Source organism: Homo sapiens, chromosome 20, assembly GCF_000001405.40.
Source record: "Homo sapiens chromosome 20, GRCh38.p14 Primary Assembly".
NCBI classification, from domain to species: Eukaryota; Metazoa; Chordata; class Mammalia; order Primates; family Hominidae; genus Homo; species Homo sapiens.
In genome coordinates, this window is record NC_000020.11 from 57,985,338 (window position 1) to 58,011,659 (window position 26,322).

At 48.1% G+C, this 26,322-nt stretch overlaps 2 long non-coding RNA genes across 4 annotated transcripts, besides 1 other annotated feature; one reads left to right on the forward strand and one right to left on the reverse strand.

Moving 5' to 3' along the window:
• Positions 1 to 561: 561 nt before the first annotated feature.
• Positions 562 to 14,225, reverse strand: LOC105372693 (uncharacterized). Of its 3 annotated transcripts, none has more exons than XR_007067678.1 (6): positions 13,893 to 14,225; positions 10,645 to 10,835; positions 3,966 to 4,061; positions 2,750 to 2,898; positions 2,364 to 2,452; positions 562 to 1,802 (listed from the first exon to the last, which is right to left on the reverse strand). It is a non-coding gene; the product is annotated as an uncharacterized LOC105372693 (long non-coding RNA). The 3 variants fall into 3 exon arrangements; XR_007067676.1 differs by adding an exon at positions 11,456 to 12,292 and having other exon boundaries at positions 562 to 2,452; XR_007067677.1 differs by having other exon boundaries at positions 11,456 to 14,225.
• A 4,341-nt stretch (positions 14,226 to 18,566) lies between these two features.
• Positions 18,567 to 19,311, forward strand: LINC01742 (long intergenic non-protein coding RNA 1742). Its single transcript, NR_147083.1, has 2 exons — positions 18,567 to 18,730; positions 18,848 to 19,311. It is a non-coding gene; the product is annotated as a long intergenic non-protein coding RNA 1742 (long non-coding RNA).
• Positions 24,908 to 25,409: an enhancer, noted in NCBI's record as "H3K4me1 hESC enhancer chr20:56585301-56585802 (GRCh37/hg19 assembly coordinates)". NCBI's record gives its function as "activates a minimal SCP1, AML or CMV promoter by ChIP-STARR-seq in naive H9 embryonic stem cells {active_cell/tissue: H9 hESC(naive)}" and the evidence as "EXISTENCE:reporter gene assay evidence [ECO:0000049][PMID:30033119]".

The window sequence follows — 26,322 nt, forward strand, 5'->3', positions numbered from 1 at the left end:
GCAGCTGGGACCATCCAGATCACAGCAGCCTCAAATCATCTGGCCTAAAAACCCAGACCGGCACTCCTTGAACAGCTCCTCCAATGCCAGTGAAGTCTTAGAACTCAGATTGCTGCAAAGTGGGAAAGCAATCTCCCTTCCCCTGGGGCCAGCGACCAGCTGACCTAACTGTGAAGGCTGCTAGACTGCTCAATGGCTCAGCAGAGCTTATGTCTTCGTTCACAAGGAACAAGCCTTAAAATCCAGCTGTGATATTCACTTTGAGGCTTTAACACGTTGTTAGTGAAAAATCTGTTTGGAAATACATTTTTTTATTTATGTTTTATTTTATTTTTTTTATATACTTTAAGTTATAGGGTACACGTGCACAACATGCAGGCTTGTTACATATGTATACATGTGCCATGTTGGTTTGCTGCACCCATTAACTCGTCATTTACATTAGGTATTTCTCCTAATGCTATCCCTCCCCCATCCCCCCACCCCACGACAGGCCCCAGTGTGTGATGTTCCCCACCCTGTAGAAATACATTTTGAGTTAATCAAATGCAATCAAGAAAATGAGATGTCCTCCAAAAATTTAATGTAACAAAGATTTTTTTACAGTAGTAATTCTCATTGCTGGGGATGGTGTGGTGCAATAGGCTTTCTCATACACTACTGGAAGTTCCTTCCAGGAAAAACTATTTGTTGATGGGTGTGTGTGTGTGTGTGTGTGTGTGTGTGTGTGTATAAGAAGAAATGTGTTAAAAACACTCACCTACTTTTATCAGTAATTCCACTTTTGGGGATCTGGCCGAAGAAAATAATCAGGAAATGAAAACTGGTTCATATAAACAGGCATTAATCCTGGCATTATTTGACTTTTTAAAAAATTAAATGTCCAACACTACCAAAGTGATTAAATAAATTATGGAATGTCCTTGTGATGGAATATTTATACAGTTATTAAAACTGATGTTTGCATAGTTTTAATGCAAACATACTTTCATGTATGCAAAGTATTTTTTTAATAAAAAGGAAATGGCACGCTTATGACCCCACGGTGAGTGCAAATGGCATACACATAGCACAGTGTCACTCAGCATAGGCTATAGGACCATAGACAAGGACCTGGACCATAGACAAGGACCTGGAATAAAATATTTTGAGATTAATAATGGTTAGAATATGTGAAGCTTCTGTTTTCTCCTTTATACTTTTTTTGTTTTCTTCCACAATTTTAGAATTATCTTGATTTCCTTTCACTACAAGAAAATAAATACTTAAATACATTAGTAAATATTTTGGGGTAGAGAAGATTTTTAAGACGGTAGTTATGAGTAGTTGTGTATTCACAACAGCAATATTCCCCCTGGAGAGTGAGCTAATAAACACATGCTCTGGTATAAATAGCTGTAGGGCTTTGACATTGCCTTTACATTCAAAATGAGTTCATGTCATGCTGAAAGAGGAGTCCCGAGGGAAGCAGGACCTCGCTGCAGAGCTTGGCTTAGGAGAAGCAGAGAGCTGGGTGCTTCCCCACCTGATTCCCAGCTTCTGCTCTGTGAGTTCCAAGCTGCAAAACTCTGGGCAAGTCACTTATCAGCTGTGATCCATCTGTCGCCGTCGATAGAGCAGCATCAGTGACTCCTGGCTTCCTCACAGGGCCACCAGGAGGGCCAGCAGATGACCTCAGTGGGAGACAGCAGGGCTGTTGAGACGAGGACTCCCCAGCTGTTGCAGGGTCCATACAGCAGTTTGGGGGACACCAGCCTCCAGGTCAAGTTCTGGTCTGCTGTGACCCGAGGCCCCAGAGATCCCTGTGGAAAGACTGAACTACTCACATAATGCTGACCACTGGAGTTTGCAAAGCCTGTTGACATTTGAGAGCTCACCTCTAAGCCACCTGGCTGTTCTGTGAGGTGGACAAGGTGGGGAAATGGTGCTTCTGCGACAGACAGTGAAGCTGATGCTCAGAGATTGGATCTCAGGAACCCAAGTCCCCAACGTGGCCCAGGGGGTCTTGAAGCCTGACCTGTGGCCCAGCCCCCAGACTCCAAGGCCAGGGCTCTTTTTACTATCCTCTGTGAGATGGAGATGGGTTTACTATGTCCATTTTACAAATAGGGAAACTGAGACTCCCAGAAGGCCGGGTGACGAGCCCAACTCATATATGCTCAGATCTGTGAGGTGACATAGGGTTCCTAAAAATCACGGTAGCATGCAGGGCCTGTGGCAAGAATGGGGTTAGGAGCACAACACTCAAAATATTACCAGTAACATTGAAAACAAAGACAGAAGCTGAATAAAATGATAGCACCATTTTACACACGTTAAATGCATAGGAAATGCATAAACACGAAGGTAAACATGGCACTTACCTTGGGAAAGATCCGAATTTACCTGTGCACCTGGGCCCAAGAAGAGTTACAGTTTCTAAGTGATTGTGCAGTGGAGGAAGGAGGGTTACCTGAAATGGAGCAGATGGTTGTAACACCAGGTGTGGACAGGTGTGGCTCCTAACCCACAGCTGAGGTGACGTTGAAGGGCCACGTGTGTGTGCACATGCTTGTGTGTGTGTGTGTGTGTCCTGCAGGGCTTGCCAAGCAGGATGTAGTTTTCTGCATTGGCCTAGCATTTCCTGAGGACAAAATCACATATAGGTAAAAACCAAATTCGCATCACGCTCAAATTACCACTAACATGTCAATCACACTAGAACAAATTTGTATTTTCAAGACAAGCCTCAGAGCAGAACTGGCTGTACCTAGTGCAGGGTGAGGCTGCAAGTGAAACACGGGCGCGCTTCTTTTTCTGATCCCAAAGTGTTCTTTACATAGAATGTTTCTGCAGGCATTTTCTTCTTTCTCTTCCTCTTAGCCTGGCTCCAGGCTGGCAGTAGATAGCATCAGCTACCTGCAACAGATGGGGTTGATGGGGTGGCGCGGGCAATGGCGCAGGAAAAATTCTGAGACTACGCCTGAACCAGCAGAAGGAAGCCATGATGGGTCATGGTGTCTTGGAGACACAGATGAGAGAGTTTTGTACTCTACTCCAGATCTGCAACTTGCCAACTGCGTGGGCTTGGACAGGAGACTCAGCTTCCTTGAAGCTTGGTTTCCTCGTCTGTAAAATGGGAATAAATGTAGTACAACCCTCACCAGGTGAGTCTAAGGGTTAAATGAGATCAGGCATGTAGTAAGTGTTCAACAAACTCTGATGACCTTGCTCCTCCTCCTCCCCTTCCTCTACTCCCTCTTCCAAATCTCCTTCTACTGCTTCTTCATAGTCATCTTTGTCATCATCACCATCATCATCATCACCATCGTCATCCTACCACCAAAGAAAAAAAGTCACAACCCCCCAGTTCCTGAGACATGGACGATGGAGCCAATTTTCTAGGAGCATCAAAATCTTAATGAATCCTCTGGGTCTGAGGTACATCATTTGTCCTTGCACCCTAGACTTCACTTACTGCAGGAAGCAAGCTCTTCCTTGAGAAAAGCAGCAGGAGCAAAGCGCTCCTTGGCTTGGTCTCCCCAAATGGCAGTTTTCCTATTGGGTCCTGTGCTGTGACTTTTCTTCCCTGGAGCTCTGCATTTGTGCGCATTCCTTACGTGCCCTGAATGATCTCAGCACCAATTGCCCACACGTCTGAAACCAGGAGGCCAGCTCCAGGAAGGCGGGACATGTCTGGGAGGTGGTTTCAGGCATTCAAAGTGCTGTCCACAGACTACAAGCATGGGCATCGCCTGGGAGCTTGTTAGGAATGCAAAATCTCAGGCCCGGCCAGGAACCATAACCTGCATTTTAATAGGATGCCCAGGTGACCCGATGCACATTACAGTTCGAGAAGCACTGGTCTTAAGGGACACAAGAGCCACAGCCCACTGGGCTCTGGGAGAAATGGCTATCCCTTGATATATTGAATGCCTGTTTCTTTTGGTATGTCCTGGGGATTACGTGCACATGTCTAAACTCACATGGGATGGTGTTAGAATCCTGACTCCAGCTGATATTCTGTGTGGCTTCAGGCAATTGGCTTCACCTTTCTGAGCCTCTGTTTCTTTTTCTGTGGTCTGAAATCATAATAATAATAGTTATTAATGTTTGACACAAAACATTAATGCATCCAGCACAGTTCTTAGCATGCAGTAAAACTCACAGAAAATGATATGACCACCATTGTTATTTGGGGTGAACACTGCAAGGTCCTCCACCAATATCCACTTTCTTTTTCTTCTTCACTAACAGAATCTCAATTTTATTCAAGCAGTAAATTGCGTTTCACAATAGGCACCTTAGTAGATGTGCCTGTTCAACAACGTTCGCCTTCCCAGACCTCCTGGAAACCAGAAATGACCATGTGACCATGGTCACAATCCTTTGGCAGCTTTCTCTCCTCAATAGAAAAAAAAAAAAAAGATTTTAGAATGTCCTTTCTTTCCTTTCCTCCCTTCTTTCTTCTTGGACTCTGGATGTGATGTCTGGAGACAAAGCAGCCATTTTGTTCTGGTGGGGATGAAAAGCACAGTGGAAGGATGGGTAAGAGGAGAGAAAGAAGGTGGCTGGGTTTCAGTAGCACTGTGGAGCCACTATTTGGATTGCCTGTGTCTGGGCTTCATGGTATGAAGCAGGTGGGAGGATTAAAGATCAATTTCTCTGACATACAGCCCAACATAGTCCTAACTAGTAATGCCGTCATCATAACGCTGTCATCATTATGATAGCTGTTGTTCCTGACCATCTCTGGCACATACTAAGGACTCATCCTGGGTCCTTGGTAAGCATTTGCTAATTTCCGTTGAACAGTTTGAAGGAAACTTAACCTGGGAAACAGAATTGACTATCAAGCTCCTTTAAAAAATGAGAATAAAAAGAAAACATAATCCAACTATCCACCAATAAAACCTACTAAATGCATTTTGACATGCAGCTTTTCATGTTTCTTTTTACAAACACATTTAAATATACACCTACTTGTAATGATAACGTGCACTGTGTATGGTTTTATAACCTGTTAATTTTCATGTATCTGTATATTACCATATTTTTCATGCCATTAAATTTTGCTTCTACAATAAAAATAACAAATCAGGTAATGAGATGAGCCTGATCCTTCACTTGCTTCAGTTTTGCCTTCCAAGAACTGTGTCTTTGCAACACTTATTTGAGCAGACATCACCCCCACAAATGCCTGAATGAACATTTCCTGTTGAAAAACTGCATCGGGAAAGACGTCAGAGCTGCTGGCTCACGTTTTCTGGAGAGCTTCTTACAATGCCCAGAGGAAACATGGGATAGTCACTCCTTTAACGGCTACTCATTATGTTCCTCCAAATACTGCTATGAAAAATTCACACCCATTTTCACAATGAATGCACATTTTTTTACAATGATGAAAATGATGTAAGACTTTAATTCTGAAGTTCTACTCCAGGACTTCAAATGCTTCTTGTCCTGCTTTGGTCCAAGGTCCTGCGTGTGTGGGAAGCCCTGTCTTCGGAAGGCAAGTGAATCAGAAATTACTTCTGAAACTGACTCCAATACTGATAATGTGCTGATAACAGAACGAATAGCATCCTTAGTATTTCTCACTTAATAAAATAAGACAAGAAATGATTTGGAAAAGCACCTGCGCCAAGTCACAGGGGCCAGGCTGCCTGAGGGACTCCCACCCCACCCTACCCCCACTGCACCCACCAGGGCAGCCTGTCCTTGTTCCCCAGCTAATTGTTCCTATGTCAGAAGGTGGATTCAGTGCTGCTGGATTTTTTAAGAGTGATTAGAAATATACATTTTTATTTGAAATCTTCCCATTTTTAAAGGTCAGCCACTTCTTAAAACCACAAAACCACTATTAAGAGCCACAAAATAAAACCAGTCCACAGGCAGAGGCGGGCCAGTGCTTGGAGTTAGCATGCCCTCCTTGCCAGCCTGTCTTGTTAGGGAGAGGACGGAGTTTCAGAAGAGACGTTGCCAGAGGGCCATCGCATTATGGTAATAGCCTTTTTGCTTAACTTCGGTTTGTCCACACCCAGTGCTTCAGGCACAAATGAGACAAATTAAAGGCATTCAGCTGGGAGCCAGCACACATTTTTTTAGTTAAGGAGCTGAGCGAGTCATTAACCGCCTAGGGCTGGTGGAAGGCGGGGGAGGCCCCAGCAAACCCAGGAGGTGCCCAGGACCCATGACCTCATTCTGTCCCAGCCCAAGTCTTCACTGCTTCATGAGGAGTTGTGACAGCGTGGCCTTCTCCAGCCCCACATGGCAACAGCAAGGCCAGGGAGGTGGGGAGCTCGCTGTTTCTGTTCCCCACAATCCAAGCCTCCAGACCCAGGTCTGGGATGACAGAGAAAATCCCAAAGAGTAGGCTTGCCGCACTTCACTGGCGTGGAGCACTGTGACTAATGCCCACACTTAGCCTGGTGCTCACTAAGCCCTGGCTGATACCACTGGGCGCTCACACTGTTGGGTGCCAAGGCCTTCCTGAGTCATCTTGCCTTCCCTCTAATTGAACAGCCTTCAACCTATATAGGATGATCAGCTCTTCTCGGTTCACAGGGGACTTTCCTGGTTTTGGTACTGAAAAGTCCCACATCCCCAGGAGCCCTTCATTCTGGGCAAACCAGGACACTTGGTCACTCTGAGTCTATGCAAAGCCCAGGGAGTTGATTTTGAATCCAAAATTGAGAAGTCCCATCCGACTGCAGAAGGGCATAATTTTAAAAAATCAGAACGTGGGCATTCCAGCTAGGTGGGCTGGAGTAAAGAATACTCGACTGGACTTTGCTTCCAAGGGTAGAAGGGCAGTACTGACCACAGCAGGATAGTCCTAGAAGCAGCTGGCCACCCTCCACAACCTTGCTACTCAAAGTGTGGTCCCCAGGTCAGCAGTATCAGCACCATCTGTGAACCTTTTAGAAATGCAGACTCTCAGGCCCCAGCCTGGACCAACTAGATCAGAATCTGCATTTTGAGAAGATGCTTGGGTGCCACATAGCACACAGGTTGGAGAGGTACTGTCTGTGGGTGCTGCGTTCTTACAGCTTAACTTGGTGAAAGGAGAGAATGGGGCTCCAGAGAGGTGTCGGGAACCTGAGCAGGTGCAAGAAGTCTCATTTCACCTCCCTGGGTTCCTGGAGGCTAAAGCTGTTCAGCTCCCAGAAAGGCAAGGAGGTCTGTCTACCAGGATAGAAGGACACAAATGAGTGACAACAGTTCCAGGCTACATGTCCCCTGACTATAGACCTTAGAGGACAAGGGACTTTGTGCATTTTTTTTATTACCCCCTCTGCCTAGATTTTCCAGGACCTTCCAGATAAAATGTACTAAATTCTGTATTAGATTGGAATGCTTTGGGCTGCAGGTATCAGAAACCCAACTAACAGTGGCTTAAACAAATAGAAGTTTATTGTTCTCACACAACGAGCAGGGAGGGGTGGGTGCTGTGTGGCTGGGGCATGGCTTGGCCATGCCGGCAGGGACAGAGGCTCTCCCTGCCTTCCCCTCTAGAATTCTAAGCACTTCCACTTTCTGTCCTCAGGTTGGTGGCCTTATGGCCTCAGGATGACCTGCTGCAGCTTGAAGCATCATGTTGATGCTTTCAAGACAAGAAAGGAAAAGGGGAAAGCCAATGAACATGACCTTCTTTTTCAGGAGAGCAAAATATTTCTTATAAATTGACCACCTACTTCAGCTCAAGCCTTGTTTGTGGTGCCGCAATGCCATCCGGACCGAAGAGAGTCTGGGAAATAAGTCACTGACAAGAGGGACAAGCAGCTGTGAGGAGCTCAGATCAATCCTGATCCATTGCCTAGAGCCAAAGAGAGCCAAGAGGGAGCCAGCCACGGCCCGGAGACGCCTCCTGTAGGTCTTCTGGTCTTTGCATAATGGCCCTGATCATGTTGGCTGTTCATTTACATTTCTGACCCCTTCTAGGTGATGGAACACTTAAAGGCAGTGAACATGTCTTAGTTGTCTCAATACGTCCCTGGTGCTAACATACCAGGCACAGAGTATGCTCAGTGGATATTTACAGAATGAATGAATGAGGATGCCCTCAGTGCCCATTAGCCAGAGCCACTCATCCCCAAATGTCTCGAGATGGTGGCATCGGCTTTATCTCACAATTGGCTTTATCTCCATAATAACTTATCTTTTCAAACTGGAACCAGGCTTCAGATAACTGGGGCAAAGTCATAGAGAATCATCTAGCTTGAGTCTGAAGTTTCAGTTCCATGGAGCCTGGCTTAGGAGTGCGATCAGAGGTGGTCAGCAGCTGCCAGACTCACCCACTCCCATGAGGCCGACTACATAAAAAGAAGGAACAAAATAAAAGCCAGCCTCTGGAGTCAGGTGAAGCCATTTGTTCTTAAGGGGAGTCACAGGCAAGGCTGCACTGTGTGCCTTAGAATGTCGCAGCTAATCATGGTCCATGAAACATGATGGGATGGAGCAAGTCAGACGATTCCGCCTGATATGTGCCATATGACAGCCGTTAAGTCGCTCGGTCTACTGGAAATAACATTTCATGGTGATCCAGGTAGGGGAATGCAGCCAAGAGCAGAGAGACTCCTCCCGTCTCGCTGGAGAACAGGAGGGGGTTGTTAGGGTGACGTCTGTCATTTTATGAGCCAAGTCAAGGCATATAAAAGCCAGGGAGGGCACAGGGTCTCCCCAGGAACTAATTTGGATGGGAAAAATAAAGATTTTATGTGCTGGCTCAGGCACTGGACTGAAAATCTCAAGAATCTAATCAGCGCCAGGTGGAGGGTGAAGCAGCTCAGTGGCTGGCGAGGACCCTGCGTGGGGCAGGCAGGACGTGGGGGCCACATGTCTCCGTGCTGGAGATGCATCAGGCTGAGTCATAACAGGCTTGGGCTTCAGCGACCCACATCTTTGGGCAAGTCGCTTCCCCTCTCAGCTCCCTCTGTTTCCACATGTGAAAAATGCTTGTGAGGATGAAAGGCAAGAAGGTGGAGGCCAAGAGCTCAGCACGGTGCCCGGCACAGAGCGGTTGCCAATAAACAAATCATAATCATAGCCATTAATGGGGCCAAGTCCCAGCTAGGGTGCCCTGAGGCCTCCCCCTCCCTCTGTGGCCAGGTGGTACGGTTGCCAGATTGAGCAAACAAAAATACAGGACACTCAGTTAAAATCGAATTTCAGATAGACAATGAATCATCTTTTTTTAGTATCCATATGCCCCTAAATATTTCATGGGACATACTGATACTAAAAAGTTATTTATTTTTTATTTGAAATTCAAATTTAGCCAGGCATCCTGTGTTTTTTCTGGCAACCCTACAGGGTGAGCTTAGGTGCAGCCATAGATGAAAGAAGGGATTTCAATGTCAGTGATGGCTGAGTCGAGTGGTCAAATTAACTAAAGGAACCTATGTTCTGTGCACTCAAATTAAAATTTCTGATCTATGAACTCCAACTCTCAAAGCTTAAACGGGGGGGAAAAAAGCCTCCTTTAGTCGATAAGCAAACTAATGAAATGACAGAAGACTGGACAAGAGTGTCCCGTTCCCCAGCTTCAGCAGCAGTTTCCTGAAGGCCCCCACGCCCTCTCATCCCATTTTGCAAAAGAGGAGATCGAGGCTCCAGCAGGTGAAGAGAGTTGCTGGGCTAGCATGTGGCTGCAGTCCAGGTCTGTCTGACACATGAGCCAATAACCGTCACCAGGAGACCCCACTGCCTCTCACTGCTTAAAAAGGTCCCCCCTGGCAGGCCACAGACCACCCCCAACTTTTGTGGAGGGGAGAAAATACTACTGAACATCAGGTGAGAGCAAGTTTCCCAACCTCTTTGTGCCTCACCTTTTCCCTCTGCAGAATAGGAATAATTATTCTACCATCTCGATAGCATTTTTGGATGACTTGGTAATTTAATGTACATTAAGGACCCAGATGCTAATTGTGAGTAGACAAATGCCATTTATTAGACTTATCGTAATGAAGACAGTAAGGTTTCATTGTTAAAATATCAGCCGTGAAACACATCAGAACGAGTTCAGCCCTGGATTCACCTCTTTACCAATCTTGGGATGTTTCTAAACCTCTCTGAGCCTCCATTTGTTCATCCATAAAATGGGAACCTCATGGAGCCTCCCTCTCGCAATTGTCCGGCGTGGAATGGAGTAGCACAGGTGAGCACTCAAGTGCAGGCTATTTGTATTTCAACAGGCAGAGAGGATTGGGGTGAGAGCCAGTGGCCTCTCTCGGGGCCCCTGAATCCTGGCCACACAGAGTGGGCCTCTCCTCCGCAACCCCCCTCCACCCGACCAACAATGGAGCTGTCACAAGCCCACATCTGCTGCTGGGTAGAGATTTTTCTCTCAGGATTCCTGGAGGGGCCCTTCCAAGGGCCACAGCCCTTCTTGTTTATATGCCGAGAACAATGAAGACCTAGAAGCCAAGTTTGCAACTGGGTCTGGAGGAAAATGGTTGTCTCTCCAATAAATCCACGTGCATCATTGTTAATGACCCTGGACCACACAGCCCACCCACAGGGCCTGCCCATTAGAGGTCAGACAATGGCTAATGAGATTGCCATCCCTGATTAAGCCAGGAGGCAATGCTTCTTTAATTCTACACACAGCCAGGAGGCAGGGCCTCAGCCTCTCTCTTACTGGGACTTCCCATTTCCTCTTACCAGTTCTGCCATCCATGGCTTTCTGGATTCACCAAAACTTCAGGTTCCTCAAGGGACACAGATGTGTCAAGTGCATTTTCTGGCTTGAGGGACTGTGTGTTTCATAGACATCTTTCCAGTTTCATAGCCATTTTGCCCAGGAGTGTCATCAGCTGAGATTCAAGATTCATTGATGCTTGGCTGAGAAATCCCTGGGAGATAAGAAAGTCAGGTTCACACTGGATGCATGGAACTGGAAGCACACTGCAGAGGGGAATGTGAGTGCTATTTGCAGTCCCTCTTCTGGGCCAAAATTTGGCTTAGGGCTTCCCCTACCCTCCCTCGGCCTCTATAGCCTGTGAGATAGATATTAGCACCTCCTTTTGCCAAGGAAGAAATCATGGCTCTGAGAAATGACATGGTGCACGCAAGGTCACACAGCAAGCAAGTGGAGTGGAGGGCGTGAGTCCATCTGTCTATATGCCAAGCTTGTGTTTTTTCCCACTACACATGATTTGTTCACATTCGGCTCATACCAGTGCTTGAAGCCCACTGCAGAACCAAGCCCCAGGACTCACATGTGGCTTCCTTAATGCCCATGTGGCAGTTCCAGTGCCGTCAAATCCCTCTAACCCGAAGCAGTTAAAACTGATGATTTAATGACCCACTGGTACATCCACTTACTAATCTTTGTGAGCACACCAAGGTGTTTTTATTTCTGCTGTTTGGAGTTGCATAGTAATCTTTTACATAAACCACACCCATTTTTACAGTCACCAGCATTTATAGTTTCCAATCCTTTAAAGTGAAGTAAAAATTAAAGGGCACTTACAAAGATATCTGAATGCAGAATCCTTCATTGTTTGTGTATTTTTTCATCTTTACAGTAGTTTCTTCCTCACTGCATTGTTCAGCATATTTTTTAGGAACTCATATTTTTCAAGTCATTCCACAGCATTTGACTTATTTTTCACAGAAGCAACTATTCTCTTGCTTTCACACTCATAGTTTTTTAGTTTATATAGTAAGTAATTCAGTTGAATTTTGAAATTAAAGTTACAAATATAACTGGCATTAGAAGGCATGGGAACAATCCACAGACTCTTGTTAATCAAATGACTCATTGAATGAAGGCAGATGTGGGAGAGCTCACTGAGGTGTCACTGACCAGCCTCCAACTTTCAGAGCACTGTGGGCGGCCACAGAATGTTTACAGTGGCAGGGGAGAGCACTGGTTAGTGGCTCAGTGATGTGAAGACAGGTGAAGAAAGCTTCTATTCTACTATCTCAATGGTGGTAACAGTAGCAGTGGTGACTGCAGTGATTTCTCAGTATTTAGTGTGAGTGCCACGTATTACTATCCATCCTCACTACAATGCCTAGAAATTACTGTATTTGCAGTCTAAAGATTAGCTAGTATATAAGTCACTCAATTTTACCAGGAAGCTTTTCTGAAAGATATTATCTACTACCCCAGACTAGCCAAGTCTTCTTGGAGAACTGCCAAGTAGCCAGGAAGACTGGTTTGGAGATGCCTCTTCTTTCTGCTGTTCTTGAAGCTTGCACAGTTTCTTACCCAAGGGGAGCAGGGGAGGAAAGGGACAAGTTGCTGAGAGTTATTCCATCCATTGGTTTATGGTGGACTTGATGGTGTCACACAAGGAGGCATCTGAGAAACAGAAAATGAATCTTCTATACTGGCAAATACAAGATTTTCCCCTCTGTTTTAAGATGAGGAAGCAGACTCAGAAGTGAAGTGACTTGGCCAAGGTCACATAGCCTGTAACTGGAAAAGCTGAGATTTCAACTTAGGTCTATTTAACTCCAAATCCCATGTGCTTTCCATTGAACAACTGTTGCCATTGAGCTGGGTTGGGCTGAGTTGAGTTAGTTTGAGTTGAGGTGAGTTGGGTTGGGCTGGCTAGAATTGGGTTGGCTTGATTTGGGTGGGTTGGTTGGAGTGGGTTGGGTTGAGCTGAATTGACTTGGTTTAAGTTGAGGTGAGTTGGGTTGGGTTGGCTAGAGTTGAGTTGGTTTGAGTTGGGTAGGGCTGGGTTGGATTAGGTTGGGTTGGGTTAAGTTGGTTTGAGGTGGGGAGGGTTGGGCTGGGTGGGTTAGGTTAGGTTGAGTTTGCATGGGTTGCATTGGTAGCACTGAATCACACTAAGCCCTTTGCTGTGTAGTCTTGGTCCCAAAACAGAGGGCGAAAAAATGTCTCTTTTATAGTCTTTCAGCAACCTGAGGGCAGAAAGGGGGATCAATACAAAAGAAACAGACAGGAATCATATATGATTCATTGTTGAATTCTGGTGGGATTGCCCAAGTAAATCATGCCCTGGGCAAACCAGCAGAGTAAAAGGCACCTTACAGAGCTGTGTGTGGGGAGGGGGCCCTTCTGTCACATTGCCCAGAAGATATGGATCCAACTATCCTCATGGTCAGAGATCACAGAGGCCCCAGCCCAGTTCTAATCCCTTCATGTGAAAATCACGTGACACAGCCCCAAGCCTAGCAGAGGTTCCTGGAGAACAGCGTCTCCTTGAGCACCGGCTGGGTACTCCATGCTGCTCGCCTCCTCTCTCTGTCTCTAAACCCACGTCAGCTCTCTTCAGGAGGTATGGTCACCATCTTTTTACACACAGAGAAGTTGAGATAAAAATAACTTGCTCAAGTTTACACAGCTAATCATGGCCGGAAGCTGGGTTTAGCTCTAGGTTTGTAGGACCCTGGGAGGTTGGGTTCTTTCCACTTCTTCACATGGCCTTTCAACAGGACAGAAATCAGCACAAGCCTGTCATCCTGGAGGAGCTTTAAGCAGAATGTGTGTCTTCCATGGGGGCAGCTGGAAGGGCTTCCGGGTAGGGCTCAGGAAGAAGTATCATAGCCTGGGGGAGACCTGTAGAGTAAGGAAACTTCCTGCCCCACAACAGTCAGAGACAAGAAGTGATGACAACCAGGGGCTGTTGATGGTGTTCCCCTACCCTCTACCCATCTGACTTCTAAGCCTCAGTTTTTCCAACACATTCTGTAAAAGGGGGTTTTTAACTCAGTTCATTCAACAGGCATTTGTGGAGTGACTACAGTGTGCCAGGCATCAGACTAGGTGGAGAGAAGTTGGAGGCTTGGTCCTGGTGGTGTGGCACGTGGCTGGGACTGGGGGTCTACGCCCTCCTCCTGCCACTTCCAAGCCAGGGGGCCCCGGAAATGTCCATTTACCTCATTGAGGTTCAATTTCTGCCCATGGAATATGGGGAGAATAATAATAATACCTGGGGCTCAGGTCAGCTGTAAGGACTGAACACGGTGTGTGGGGAGCACTTAGCGCAGCCACCAGGGCGTGGACCACCTCGGGCAGGATTGTGCTGGCTTTTATGCAAAGGCAGAAAGTGCCGCTGAGCCTGGAAGAAAATGAAAAGAACAGTGGCTCACATTTCTTGGCCCACTCCTTCTCAAATACCACATTCTGCATAAAAATATCCTTCAAAAGTCACGGCCAAACCCCCACGGCGGTGGGAATGCCCTCCCTGTGGAGGGAAAGCCACCTCCGACAGCGAGTGTCGTTTCAGATGCAGCTGGCACAGAGAACAGGCGGATGGAGGAGTGACAACGTGCACAGCCGACTGTCAGGGCGGCCTCGGCAGGGAGTGTCTGGGTGCTCGCCGATTCCTTCAATGCTTCTGTATTTTTGAAAATTTTCATAATAAAACGCTAGGGGAAGTGGAAATGCAGCCAGTCCCAACCCTGCAGGAGAGGGTGGTTCCAAGCACCATTTCCTCATTTCTTTGAGTCTCTTAAAAACCTTTTCCTCATAACCCCACAGCTTATAAACGTTTGAACAATTATGACTGTCAGGTGCACAAACAAGCCCCTCACACACAGCCTATTGTTCTGCAGATGGAAACATCTGTTAGATTAGATTATTTTTTAAACCTGGGGTGAGAAGAGTGGGGGACGGGGGTGTTGATAAAAGGCTTCCTGGCCTGGGCTTGTGAACAGCCACACTGAGAAAATCTGGCTTTTCAGAAACTTCCCCTGGAGCCACCTTCCTTCACCAGGACACAAGCTTAACTCTTTCTAACCAAAGGCTTCTTTGCCGTGGGCACAATAGCCCCTTTCTTGCGCTAGAGTTTTTTTTAAAAAAATCCAAATGGTGTGTCTAAGCCCATGACTGACTCCAACCTAACTTAGGGTTTTGTTTTGTTTTGTTTTGTTTTGTTTTGTTTTGTTTTGTTTTGAGACGGAGTCTTGCTCTGTCGCCTAGGGGGGAGTGCAGTGGCACGATCTCGGCTCACTGCAAGCTCTGCCTCCTGGGTTCACCCACCATTCTCCTGCCTCAGCCTCCCGAGTAGCTGGGACTACAGGCGCCCGCCACCACGCCTGGCTAATTTTTGTATTTTTAGTAGAGACAGGGTTTCACCGTGTTAGCCAGGATGGTCTTGATCTCCTGACCTCGTGATCTGCCCGCCTCGGCCTCCCAAAGTGCTGGGATTACAGGCGTGAGCCATCGCGCCCGGCCAACTTGGGGGTGTTAACACAGTGATGAAGGGCTCAGGGTTTGAGAGCTCAGCCTTGAGCCAGACTGCCTGGGTTTGAATCACACTAGCTTTGTAATTGGCCTCTCTGTGCCCATCTATAAAATGGGAGCAATCATTGTCGGCTTTTTAGTGAATTAACAAAAATATTACAAGAGCTGAGAGTAGATGAGACCAGCACATAGTAACAGATTGTTGTTACTTACAGCCATGTGCTGCGTAATGACATTTTGGTCAAGGACAGACCACCTATATGATGGCGGTCCCACAAAATTATAATACTGTATTTTTATGGTACCTTGTCTATGTTTGGACATGTTTAGAGATACAAATACTTACTATTGTGTTACGACGGCCTACAGTTTCAGTAAGTCACATACTGTCCAGGTTTTCAGCCTGGGAGCCATGGGCTGTATCCTACAGCCTGGGTGTGCAGCAGGCTGTGCCACCTGGGTTGTACAAGTGCACTCTCTGAGGTTTGCACAATAAGGAAGTGGCCTGATGTCCCATTTCTCAGAATGTATCCCTGTCCTTCAGCAACTCATGACTGTATTATGATTAAGAACTTAGTAACTCTTCCGAGATCATGGAGGAAACCATGAAAATGGCTAAATGAAAAGGTTAAATGGTTACTATGAAAATGGTAAAGTGTAAATGGAGATAACGTGTGATGTTATTGTGGTAATAATAGGACCCTCCTCCTAGGGCTGCTGTGAGGATGAAACAGCACTGACCATGCCAGGGAAATTGCTTGCAGAATGCCCTGGCTCAATCAAAGATTGCTTGTGAAAGCTCATAAGGCATGCAATGGGACCCTGGCTCTTACCTTTGTGACAGGAAAGCCGCCTGCCTTAGGCTGTGAGCCATGCTATGAAACGTACTAACAGCCGCAGAAAGAACCTAGCCTGTCTGCTTCTCATATGCCTGGGCCCCGTTCCACTGGCTCCCAGATGGCCGTGACCTCGATACGGTGTGTGAGCCAGTGGCTGGCCTGACCCCCTAATGGTGACCGCCCGCCTCGCCAGGATGACCTACATTTCCACAGTGGCGGCTGGAGCAGACATTCCAGGGTAATTAACAAACACATGCACACAGACACACACACATATAGACATATATACACACAGAAACACACACACACACACACACACACAACGGCTCAGGCCTGGCTGTAGCTGGCACGCTCGCTGTCTAGACAGGGCTGGGAGCTGAATGGCCTCCCGCCAGGGGAGGTAGGCTGCTTGGGGCTGCAACCAGGACAGCTGAGGTGGGGTGAGAGGCTTTTCCTGTTCACTGGGGCAGAGACCCCTGAGAAGATGAGCAGCAGTGATCGTTCCTCCCCACCCTAAACGGGAGCTTCCGGCCATGTGCCTTCCAAGGAAAGTCTCCTCAGGAAATCATCAGGCAAGAGAGCCCAGGTCCAGCTACAGGGGAGCTTGATGCACTGCTGTCTGTAATAATGAAAAATGGGAAATAGCCTTTCAAAAAGAGTTAGTTAAGCATATTATGGGGCCATCACAAGAGGGACCAGCAAGTGGTTGCTGACAATTGTGTTGAAGGAGATGGTCTGATGGCATGTGGTGACTGTCATAAAATATTAAGTTTCTAAAAAGCATGATTCAAAATGGCATGTCATCAGGGACTGCAGTCATTTTTCTAATAGGTGCACAGACGAGTCATTAGACAAGCACACCTAGGAAGCTCAGTGCTTATCTCTGGGCATGATATCTGGCCACCAGGGCACTTTGCACGCTCCCACTCATGGTTGGAGTGCAAATACCAAGGACACTAGACCAAGACCCTGCACCAGCTGGCCCAACACCAAGGTTCTCGTCCTTTCCCTGCTCCAAATTCCAGTACACCCAGCTGGTATTTTCCAAACGCCAGTCACGCAGGGACCACCTTCATGACTTTTGCCCACCACACTATAATTTACTTAGAATTATTCTCTAAATTGACTCACGATTTTCACAAAAGCAAATTGATTTTAAAAGAAAACCTTATATCACAGTTGTAGTTGGGAAAATCAAAACCAGAAGGTGGCTGTAAAGATAAACACATCATTATTAATTTTAAAAAATTCCAGCAACCTGACATAAGAACAGAAAGCCAAACACCGCATGTTCTCACTCATAAGTGGGAGTTGAACAATGAGAACACAGGGACACAGGGCGGGGGGGGTATCACCAACCGGGGCCTGTCAGGGGGGTGGGGGGCTGGGGGAGGGATAGCATTAGGAGAAACACCTAATGTAGATGACAGCTTGATGGGTGCAGCAAAAACCACCATGGCGCGTGTATACCTATATAACAAACCTACATATTCTGCACATGCAACCCAGAACCTAAAGTATAAAAAAAAAAAAAGTCCTTGTGTGCCTCCTAAGATCATCTTGCCAATGATATGTATGCCGCACGTTGGACGACACTGCCTTCACTCAACCTCTTTATTTACAACATGAGAAGGCTGAGGTTCAGAGGGGACAAGATTTCCCTAGGGTCATTCAGGTTGCCAGGAGCTCTGGGTGCTGGTTCAGGGTCTGCTTACCTGAACCTGTCCTTATCCTGACCTTCTCACTCATCCTGGCAGGTCTGTCTCCATGGGGATGGGGCCAATCAGCTCTCGACCCAACCCATCACTGAGCTCCCAGGTACCTGGCTGAGCCACAAGGGTCCAGCCTGTCCCCCTCCCGCCACATCCTCTGTTCAGTGGAGGTCCCACATATCAGATATTCCTCCAATGCTAAGTAGAAAGCTCAACCGCAGTATATGAGCTTCAGATTAAATTATTTTTAATTTCATGGTGCTCCGTTCCACAGTCAATTAATTCCATTTCATTTTCAAGGGTCCCATCACCCTGCCTTCTTCTTTTTCTAGCAGTTTCAGTGATTTTCTGGAATCAATCAGGAATTGTTTGTGTTTGGTTTTAAATACGTGTAAACGTATGGCCGGTCTGTGTCCTTTTTTCCGTTCCTCCTCCTGACTGTACCCACGCTGGACACCCCAGGCTGAGGCTGGAGGGGGCATGAGGAGCGGGCCTGGCAGGCAGGTACCTGGCCCCTTCGGGAGGTGGGGGACAGAGGAGCATTTCCACATCCAGGTGGGTGCCTGTACTACAGAAGAAGGGAACCGCTGCCTCCTGGAGGCCCTGGGCTCTGGGGACTCCCTTCGTTTGGCATCCCTGCTGTCTTTTCCTCTTAGGAAAGCCCTTCACCACCTGGAGCTGTCTGCAAGAGCTTGGCCCTGAATCCTTTACAGGGTCGGGCATGTGACTCACACTGGCCAATCAGAGTAGTCCATGCCCTGGGACAGCAAGATAGGCCGAGGAGCAGTCACATGACCTAAGCAGGGCCAGTGTCCTGTGGAGGAATAAAATGGCTTCTGTGTAAGAAATGATTGTAATCTTTTTCTCTAGGCTTCTTAGCTATGAAGGTCATGGAAGCTCAAGGCTGCTGGAGACCACCCCTGCTGTCACTTAGAACTCATCCTGCCTGATCATGAAGCCAACTAGCAAAAAGGAGAGCCAAGAGATGTCAGGAGGAAAATAAGTCCTACTGTTGTGCAGTAAGGCCCTAGGTATGACTGTGCCCGAAGGCCACCAAACTGCCCAAGTTTGAAGTTGTATGTGCCAGCAAATTTCGCTTTTTTCGTTGTTGTTAAGTTAGTTTGTTATGTCTCCTTCTCTTGTTCAAGTCAACCAAGGAACATCACTGTGTGTCACGTGTCCACCTTCCTTTCCCTTGCCTCGCATGCCCTGCCTCATCCAGGCACAGCCTGGAAGGTAGAGGTGAGTGACAAGCACGCAGGAAGCTTTATGGAACATCCAACACCTCAAGACTCAGCTCAGACACCACCTCCTCCAGGAAGCCTCGCCTGGTGCCCTAGTGTGCCTTCTCAGGCTGGTTCATAGCCCATCTCTGCTGGTCCACAGCCTTTATTGAGGGCAGCACCATGCATAAGGGCTAGACTCTGGAACCCAGATGTCCCTGATTGGAATGTCAGCTCTTGCCAGCTGTGTGACCTTGAACGTACGAGTAACCTATCCGTTCCTTGGTTTCATCACCTATAAAATTAACATCAGTCTCTCTACCTAGTCCTACTTTGTTGTGAGATTTGTCACTGAGTTAGAACAGAGGCCAGCACATGGCTACTCCTCAGGTATGAATTGTATTGGCCATCATTTTTATGTTCTGTATCACTTTTGCCATAACTGCCTTTTACTTGCTTGTCTTAAACCACAAGCCCTTTCCCTTCTCTTTTCTTTCAATACCTTTGGTTCTCCAGACCCCACAGTGCCTGGCATGTAATGAGCCTGAGAGAATGTCGGTTGAATAATGTGTGCCCCCAAAAATGAACAGGCAAATCTATATCTTCTGCTCTTCCTTCTACCTGTCAAGAACTCTGACTTTGCCATCTCGTTTCTGGCTCTCATCCTAAAAATAGGATAATGAGCAAGCGGGAGGTGGAGAGAAGTAGAAGTGAAAGGGAATGAAGACAAACACAAGGGTTGGGGGGTCAGGAGAACAGATGGGCTGGGCGGGTCATGGAGGTGCTCACACCTGACTGGGCACTGGAATCACCTGGGTGCAAGGGTTCCCAAACAAGCACCCTGAGCCCTACCCTGGAGACTCCCACCTCATCTGTCTGGGTGGGGCCTGGAACTTCCCAGGTGATCCTGTGCTATGAGGCCAGGGCTGAGAACCCTGGGACGGAGAATGGGAGGAGCTTTGATGCACATGAGAAGAGAAATGAAAGCTCCTTGAGTGTTTTTGAGAGATTTCAGCAAAGATTAGTTCCTGTTCAACTATTTTGACCCTCAGCTTGTTGTTTCTTTGACTGTGACCCAGTTCTGAGACTGGGTGCCAAGGGGACTTGGTTTTGTCTAATACAAGTGTGTGAATGAATGAATTAATGAGAGGAGGTTTGTCTCCCAACACTCACACCAGTAATCACAGACACAAGCAGCAAGGGAAGGTGGAAAAGATGTTCCAACACAGGGGACTCAAGGGAAACAGAAACACCTCGTCCACCTCATCAGCCTGTGTTCAAGGGAGAGAGAGGTGCTGGGGTTGATGACTGTGGCCACTTCCCTGCCCTGATCTTAATTACAGGAGACCCACTGGCTCAGCAGTCTGTAAGTTGCAGGAAGAGAAATTAGATGTGATATCCAAATCTTTTTTTTTTTTTTCTTTTTTGAGGCAGGGTCTTATTCTATTGCCAGGCTGGAGTGCAGTGGTACAGTCATGAGTCACTGCGGCCTCAACCTCCTGGGCTCAAGCAATTCTCCATCTCGGCCTCCTGTGTAGCTGAGACCACAGGCATGGACCACCATGCCTGGCAAATCAAAAAAAAATAAAAATTATACAGATAGAGTCTTCCTATGTTGTCCAGGCTGGTCTTGAGCTCCTGGGCTTAAGGGATCCTTCCACCTCAGCCTCCCAAAGTGCAGGGGTTACAGACATGAGCCACTGTACCCAACCCCAAATCTTGACTAGTAGCATATAGTCAGCTAGATAGACAGACGGATGGACCATTGCTTGTGAACTTCTCTAGGGAGACCCTCTGAAGAAAGTGTCTGAGGGTCAAGCCATCATCAGAGCAGCTGAAGACAAGGCCCCACCCACAACGGGATCGTGGGTTCAGCAAGGACCCTTCCCAAGGACCAGTCGGCGGGGCTGTGAGCTCCTGGGGGCAACAGGAAGAGGATTTCATGCAGGACTCACAGTGCCTGGAGCCTGTTCCACTTAAGAGAAATTAAGCAGTCACGAGTATGAAAGGAATAATGTCACTCCTGGGAGTTCCTGCCACTGTCCTGTCTTTAATAAGTCCACAGGGTGCCCAGGCAGTTTTTGGTGCTTGGGGACACAGCTGCAAACAGGTCACCTTGCTCTGAAACTGCAGGTGCTCACCATCTAGTGTCTAGCAGGGAAAGACACACCAAGCAGAGGGATGGCATGGGTGAGTGCTCTGAGCAGGCCCGATGTGTTCCTGGGACCTACTGAGAGATGCCTACGAAGCTGCCTAAACAGGAAAGGCTGATCCGGCTTGCGGTTTTGTGGACTTAAAGGGAGAAATATAAGAGGAGGGGCAAGAGGAGTTGAGGGGGACGAAGGCTGTTTCCTCTCCTCCTTCTCTGCTGGGCTCATTCCCACGGCCACTGCAGCACCCCAGTAGCTCCAACAGAAGGACCCCTGGAGTCTGTGTGTGTCTGTAGGAATGGGACCAAAGTGCCAATTCCTGGCTATCTGTCCACCATGCCACCTAGCGAGCTGCCTGCCACCAGATGCCACCAGAGCGGGACAGGGACACCGGGGAGGGGATACTTGGCCACATGTTGCCTAAAGAAGGGGCAGATTTGTGTTTGTAACAAGCACCTGCAGGTAGTTCTTATCACAGGAGGGACATTCGTTGTCTGGTGCCCCTCATTTCTGCCACCCTTCCCAAGCTGGCCTCATTCTGTCTCTCTGGAGACTCCCTTTCTGCCACCCTTCCCAAGCCAGCCTCATTCTCTCTCTCTGTAGACTCCCCTCCTTGGCCCTGCCACCCCTGTGCACTGGCTTCAGGAGACTTCCTGATTTCAAGCAGCCAACACAGCCCATTGAGAATCTGTGTGCCTCCCAGGTCTAAATTCTTCTGAGAAAGAACTTGATTTGGATCGGGGCACAGCTCTGGTCCAATCAGCTGTGGCCAAGGAGGGGTGAGGTCATGGTACAACTGTGGCTCCTGGGGCCTCCCTTGTGGGTATAAGGAAGAGAGTTCTGAGAGGTACCCATCCAAACTGCTATCTCCCATCAATGCAAGCTTGTGTTCCCCAGGAGACCCCATTCCACAACTCAGGTTATGAATTTCTCTCTCCCTGGTACATTTCCAGACCTCACAGCACACCCAGCTTCAAAGGAATCTGTCCGAAAAACTTGTAATGACAATATGATATGCTTCTTCAAGAAGTTTCTAGAATGAGCGCTCTGAGCAGACAGGGGCTGTTGCCTTGTTTGTCCTGTGCACCCCAGCCACTCCTGCCATGTCCATTAAGCACAAGGACCTACACGCCATTGTCGCTCACTGTTATGGGCTGGATTCTGTCCCCTCGGAATTTGTATGTTGAAGTTCTAACCCACATCTTCAAATGTGACTGTATTTGGAGGTAGGGCCTTTAAACAGATGATTAAAGTTAACTAATTTCATAAGGTGGGCCCTAATCCAGTGTGACTGGCATCCTTGTAAGAAGAGGAAGAGGGAATAGGGAAGGACACACAGAGAGGGCACGTGAGGACACAGTGGGGAATGGCTGTCCGCAAGCCCAGGAGAGAGGCCTCTGAAGACATCAAACCTAGTGACTTCTTAATCTTAGACTTCCAGCCTCCAAGACTGTGAGAAAACACATTACTGTTGTTGAAGCCACCTAGTCTGTAGTATTTTGTTAGGGCAGCCCAGGCAGACTAATACACTCGCTAAAGGTTTGTTCCTCACTAAAGGGATGCAAAAATGGTGGAACTGAGTCCTCCCACCAAGAGTTGGGACCTGTCTACTGACTGCAAATGGCAGTCTAGGTTAGCTCTTGGTTAAAAAGAGAAACAAGAACCAGTTTATCAGGAGTCCTGGAGCTTTCACTGGGTGAGGACAGGGGTCTTCTGAAGGCCCCAGTGTCAGGGCAGGACCCCGATGTGTGTGGAGAAAGTGACCCACTACTCATAACCATGGCCGGCATGCAGGGGATACCTGATGGCTTTGCTCTGTAGTCCTGCCCTACACTAAGCTTTTGAGTTACTGTCTACTCTAAACTCTATTTTCAAAATTTCTTAGACTCTTTTTATTGGCAAAAGCAAAGGACTGAATTTGGCATTGGAGGTCAGACCGCTCTAGTTTGAAAAGAAAAAGGAAAACACATCTCCATGGGTCTTTGACTACACAGAGATCAAACAAAACCCTACTTTGCTTGGTGATATTTAGGAATGGAGGAGCCAGGCTGCTTCCTGGGGACGAAGCAGCGATTGTGCATCGGGAGAGGAGCAGCGTGCCTCCCTCTCACCACCTCGGCAGCTCCGCTGGAAAGAGATCCTCTCTCTCCACTGACCACCGATGTCAGCACTCCCGTGGGACAGATGCTAGGCCGGGTGCAAACCACCCACCAGGCAGAGCAGTGGGAGGGCTGACAGCCAAGCCTGGCCACATGGGCACCCCTGAAGCCTGGGGTACAGCTGGTTCCCAAAACATGTAGAGAGAGTGAAAGGAGAGACGGTTCCCTATGGAAACAGGAGAGGTTTTAACTAGAAGAAAGGGGAGTGGGTATGGTACAGGCCGCAGCGCCCACGTGCTGCTGAGTTCTGGAGGACACTCCCTGTTGTATCTGAACCCAGGTTCCGCTGCTTGCAGCTCAAAAGCCAAAACTCAGGAGATGGGAGTTAGTGGAAAGAAAAGCAGGTTTATTGGGAGAGCCAGCCAACCGAGATGATGAACTAGCCTCCTGAAGTATTAATACCATCTTGAGTTAAGTCCATACAAATTTTAGGCTCTTTTTATGTTCAGGACAGGGGAGGAGGAGGGGATTGGGGTGGAGATGTAACAGATGACCACAGACATTGGCACCAGTGCGGGTCCAAGGAGATCGGGAACTGCTTTGTCCTTGGTCAGGTCACGATGCTCCTATAAATCTATTTTTGAAAACATAGTCAGTTGTTTACATACTTTCCCTTTAATCCCAGAGTTAGTTTTTAAAACTCCATGATTGCTGTTTTTGCATATTATCTCAATGCTCTAAAATTATCCCAGCCTCCGCGCAGAAATGGATAAAGCCCCTTAAGCAAAAATGGAGTTGGTTGTGTTCGTTCTTTGCTGCTTCCCTGATAACAGTCAGTTCCCCAAATCTCTCTCACATGGAGCAGCCCCTCCACAACCCCACTGCCTCTGTCTTGGGGCACCCCTTGGTTTCTACATAAGGGGCCCTCACCCATCTCACAGTTCCAGTCTCTTCGCACATCCTTCTCCACCCAGCTGAGGTCTTTGAACAGAGGTGGCAGTTTGGGGACTAGGATTTGGTGAGACTCAATCCAGGTAAACAGTACCTTAAGAAGGCTTACGAATGGACGCTTGGGACCTGTGTTGATCCTGGTTCTCTCACAAATTAGCAAGTTACTTAACTTCTCTGTGCCTCTGTTTTGTCATCTGTGTGTTGGGTACAGTATCTGTACCAATCTTAGAGGGTTATTATAAAGAGTAAATGAGGTAGTATACATCAAGCACTCAAAATGTGAGCTGTTATTAAAATATATCTCGCATCTGTCCACTTCTCTCTATCTATGCTGCCACCACCTCATCTGAGCCACTGTCACTGGTCCCCTGGGCCATATCCCAGACTCTTTGTAGTGTCCTGGCCCTCCTCTGACCTTGCACTGCTCTCCATTCTCCCATTCTCCACGCAACAGCCAGGATGAGACTGCCAGATGAAATACAGGACACCCGGTTAAATGTGAATTTTGGATCAACAGTGAATATTTTTCAGCATAGGTATGTCCCATGCAATATTCATTATATACTTATGCTAAAAAGTTATTTATTTGAAACTCAAATTTACCTGGGCACCTTGTATTTTTATTTGCTAAATCTTGCAGCCTTAAGCCAGGGAGAAAGCAGATCGTTTTGCTCCTAGCTTCAAACCTGCATTGAGTTCTTGGCACAGTTAGGACAGAATCTGTACCCTGTCCCGACATGCAGGGCTTAACCTGGCCCAGCCTCTGTGGGCCATTTTTTTTCCTGTGACTATTATTAACAATTTAGCAGCATCAGTGGCCAGGCATTGCCTTGTCAGGTCACACACTGTGCCTGCTCCCCACCAGGGGACTGATCAAAGAATAAGAAAATGAAGCCAGCAAGGACCACAGGGCAGGAGACCGTGGGGCTTTGTGAGGTGCGTCCCATCCTGGTGTGGAACCCAGACCAGCTTTCCGCTTGCATGGGAAACTGTAGCAGCTGGACCACCAGCCTGGAGCGAGTGGCAAGGGGGTTGGTCCAGACTCCATCCTGTGCGGCAGCCAACTGCCCAGATCTACTTCGACCAGCCCTGTGACCTTGGACATGACCTTTACCTCTCTGTGCCTCAGTTTCCTCATCTACAAACTGGGGATGCTGGCGGTGTCTAACTAGCCTCAGGGCTGTTGTGAGATAACCAAGTTCGCACCTGGACATCAGCTGCGGCAGCACCTAGCAGGGAGCAACCGAACCCCAGCCTTTTCAATTCATTCTTCAAGGCCAGGCAGGACTGCAGGCGTGGGCCAGGGAGAGGGCGCAAACAGAGCTTGCTCAGCTGAAGGTGGTTCTACTGGAAATCCAGCTGCCCCAGTTGTGGCCCCCATGGCCTCAGGGTGGAGCAGCACATTGAGACGGAGAAGGTGGTCGAGGGCCCAGCCGACAGTTTCCTTCCTCCCCTCGCCTCCCTGGGAGCCTGCAGCCTTCAGCCGTCCCTCCCCGATCTGTGTTCCTGGCTTGCCTGCTCCGGGTGGATATCCTTACATCAGGGGCAGGGGGCTGGCGGGGAATTCAATCGGTCTCTGCTTGGGTCCCTTGACCTTCTCCCAACAGGCTGAGCTTCTCTTCCTGGGGAGCCTAGAATCCCCTGGCGACTCCTTCCCTTTCTCTTAAATTGTGGCCACAGCATGGCGCCCAGTCCATGGTCAGAATGCAGAGTCCCAGGCTAGGGACTGAGCTTCTCACCAAGCCAGATGCACCCCCCACCAGGAAGCACTGCCCCCGCCACTGGATTGACCTCGTGTGCCAGGTGAGCCAAGGACGAGGGTTTTGGGCCTGGCTCTGGGTGCCTCTAAACAGACCCGCTTCCCAGACCCCGGGCTCTCTTTCCTCTCTCCTGTCACTGTGCAGGTAACTGGGCTCCCTGATGCTGTGGTGTTTCTGAAATACTTCGATGTAGTCAAAAATCTTCATTGAGTCCCTACTGTGTGCCAGGCTCTGAACTCAGTGCTGAGGACATGAAATGGGCAGAAGGGGCCTGCTCCCACAGCGTCCTGGGCTGGGACAGACACATTAGGAGTTAAGGACACTTACTAGAGTGAGTATGTGCTGAAGGCCATAAGCAGGTGGAGATGAAAGGGAGGAGCAGGGGTGGGCGCCATTGTAGAGAGGGGCTGTTTGGGACCCACTTGGAAAGAAGGGCCGGG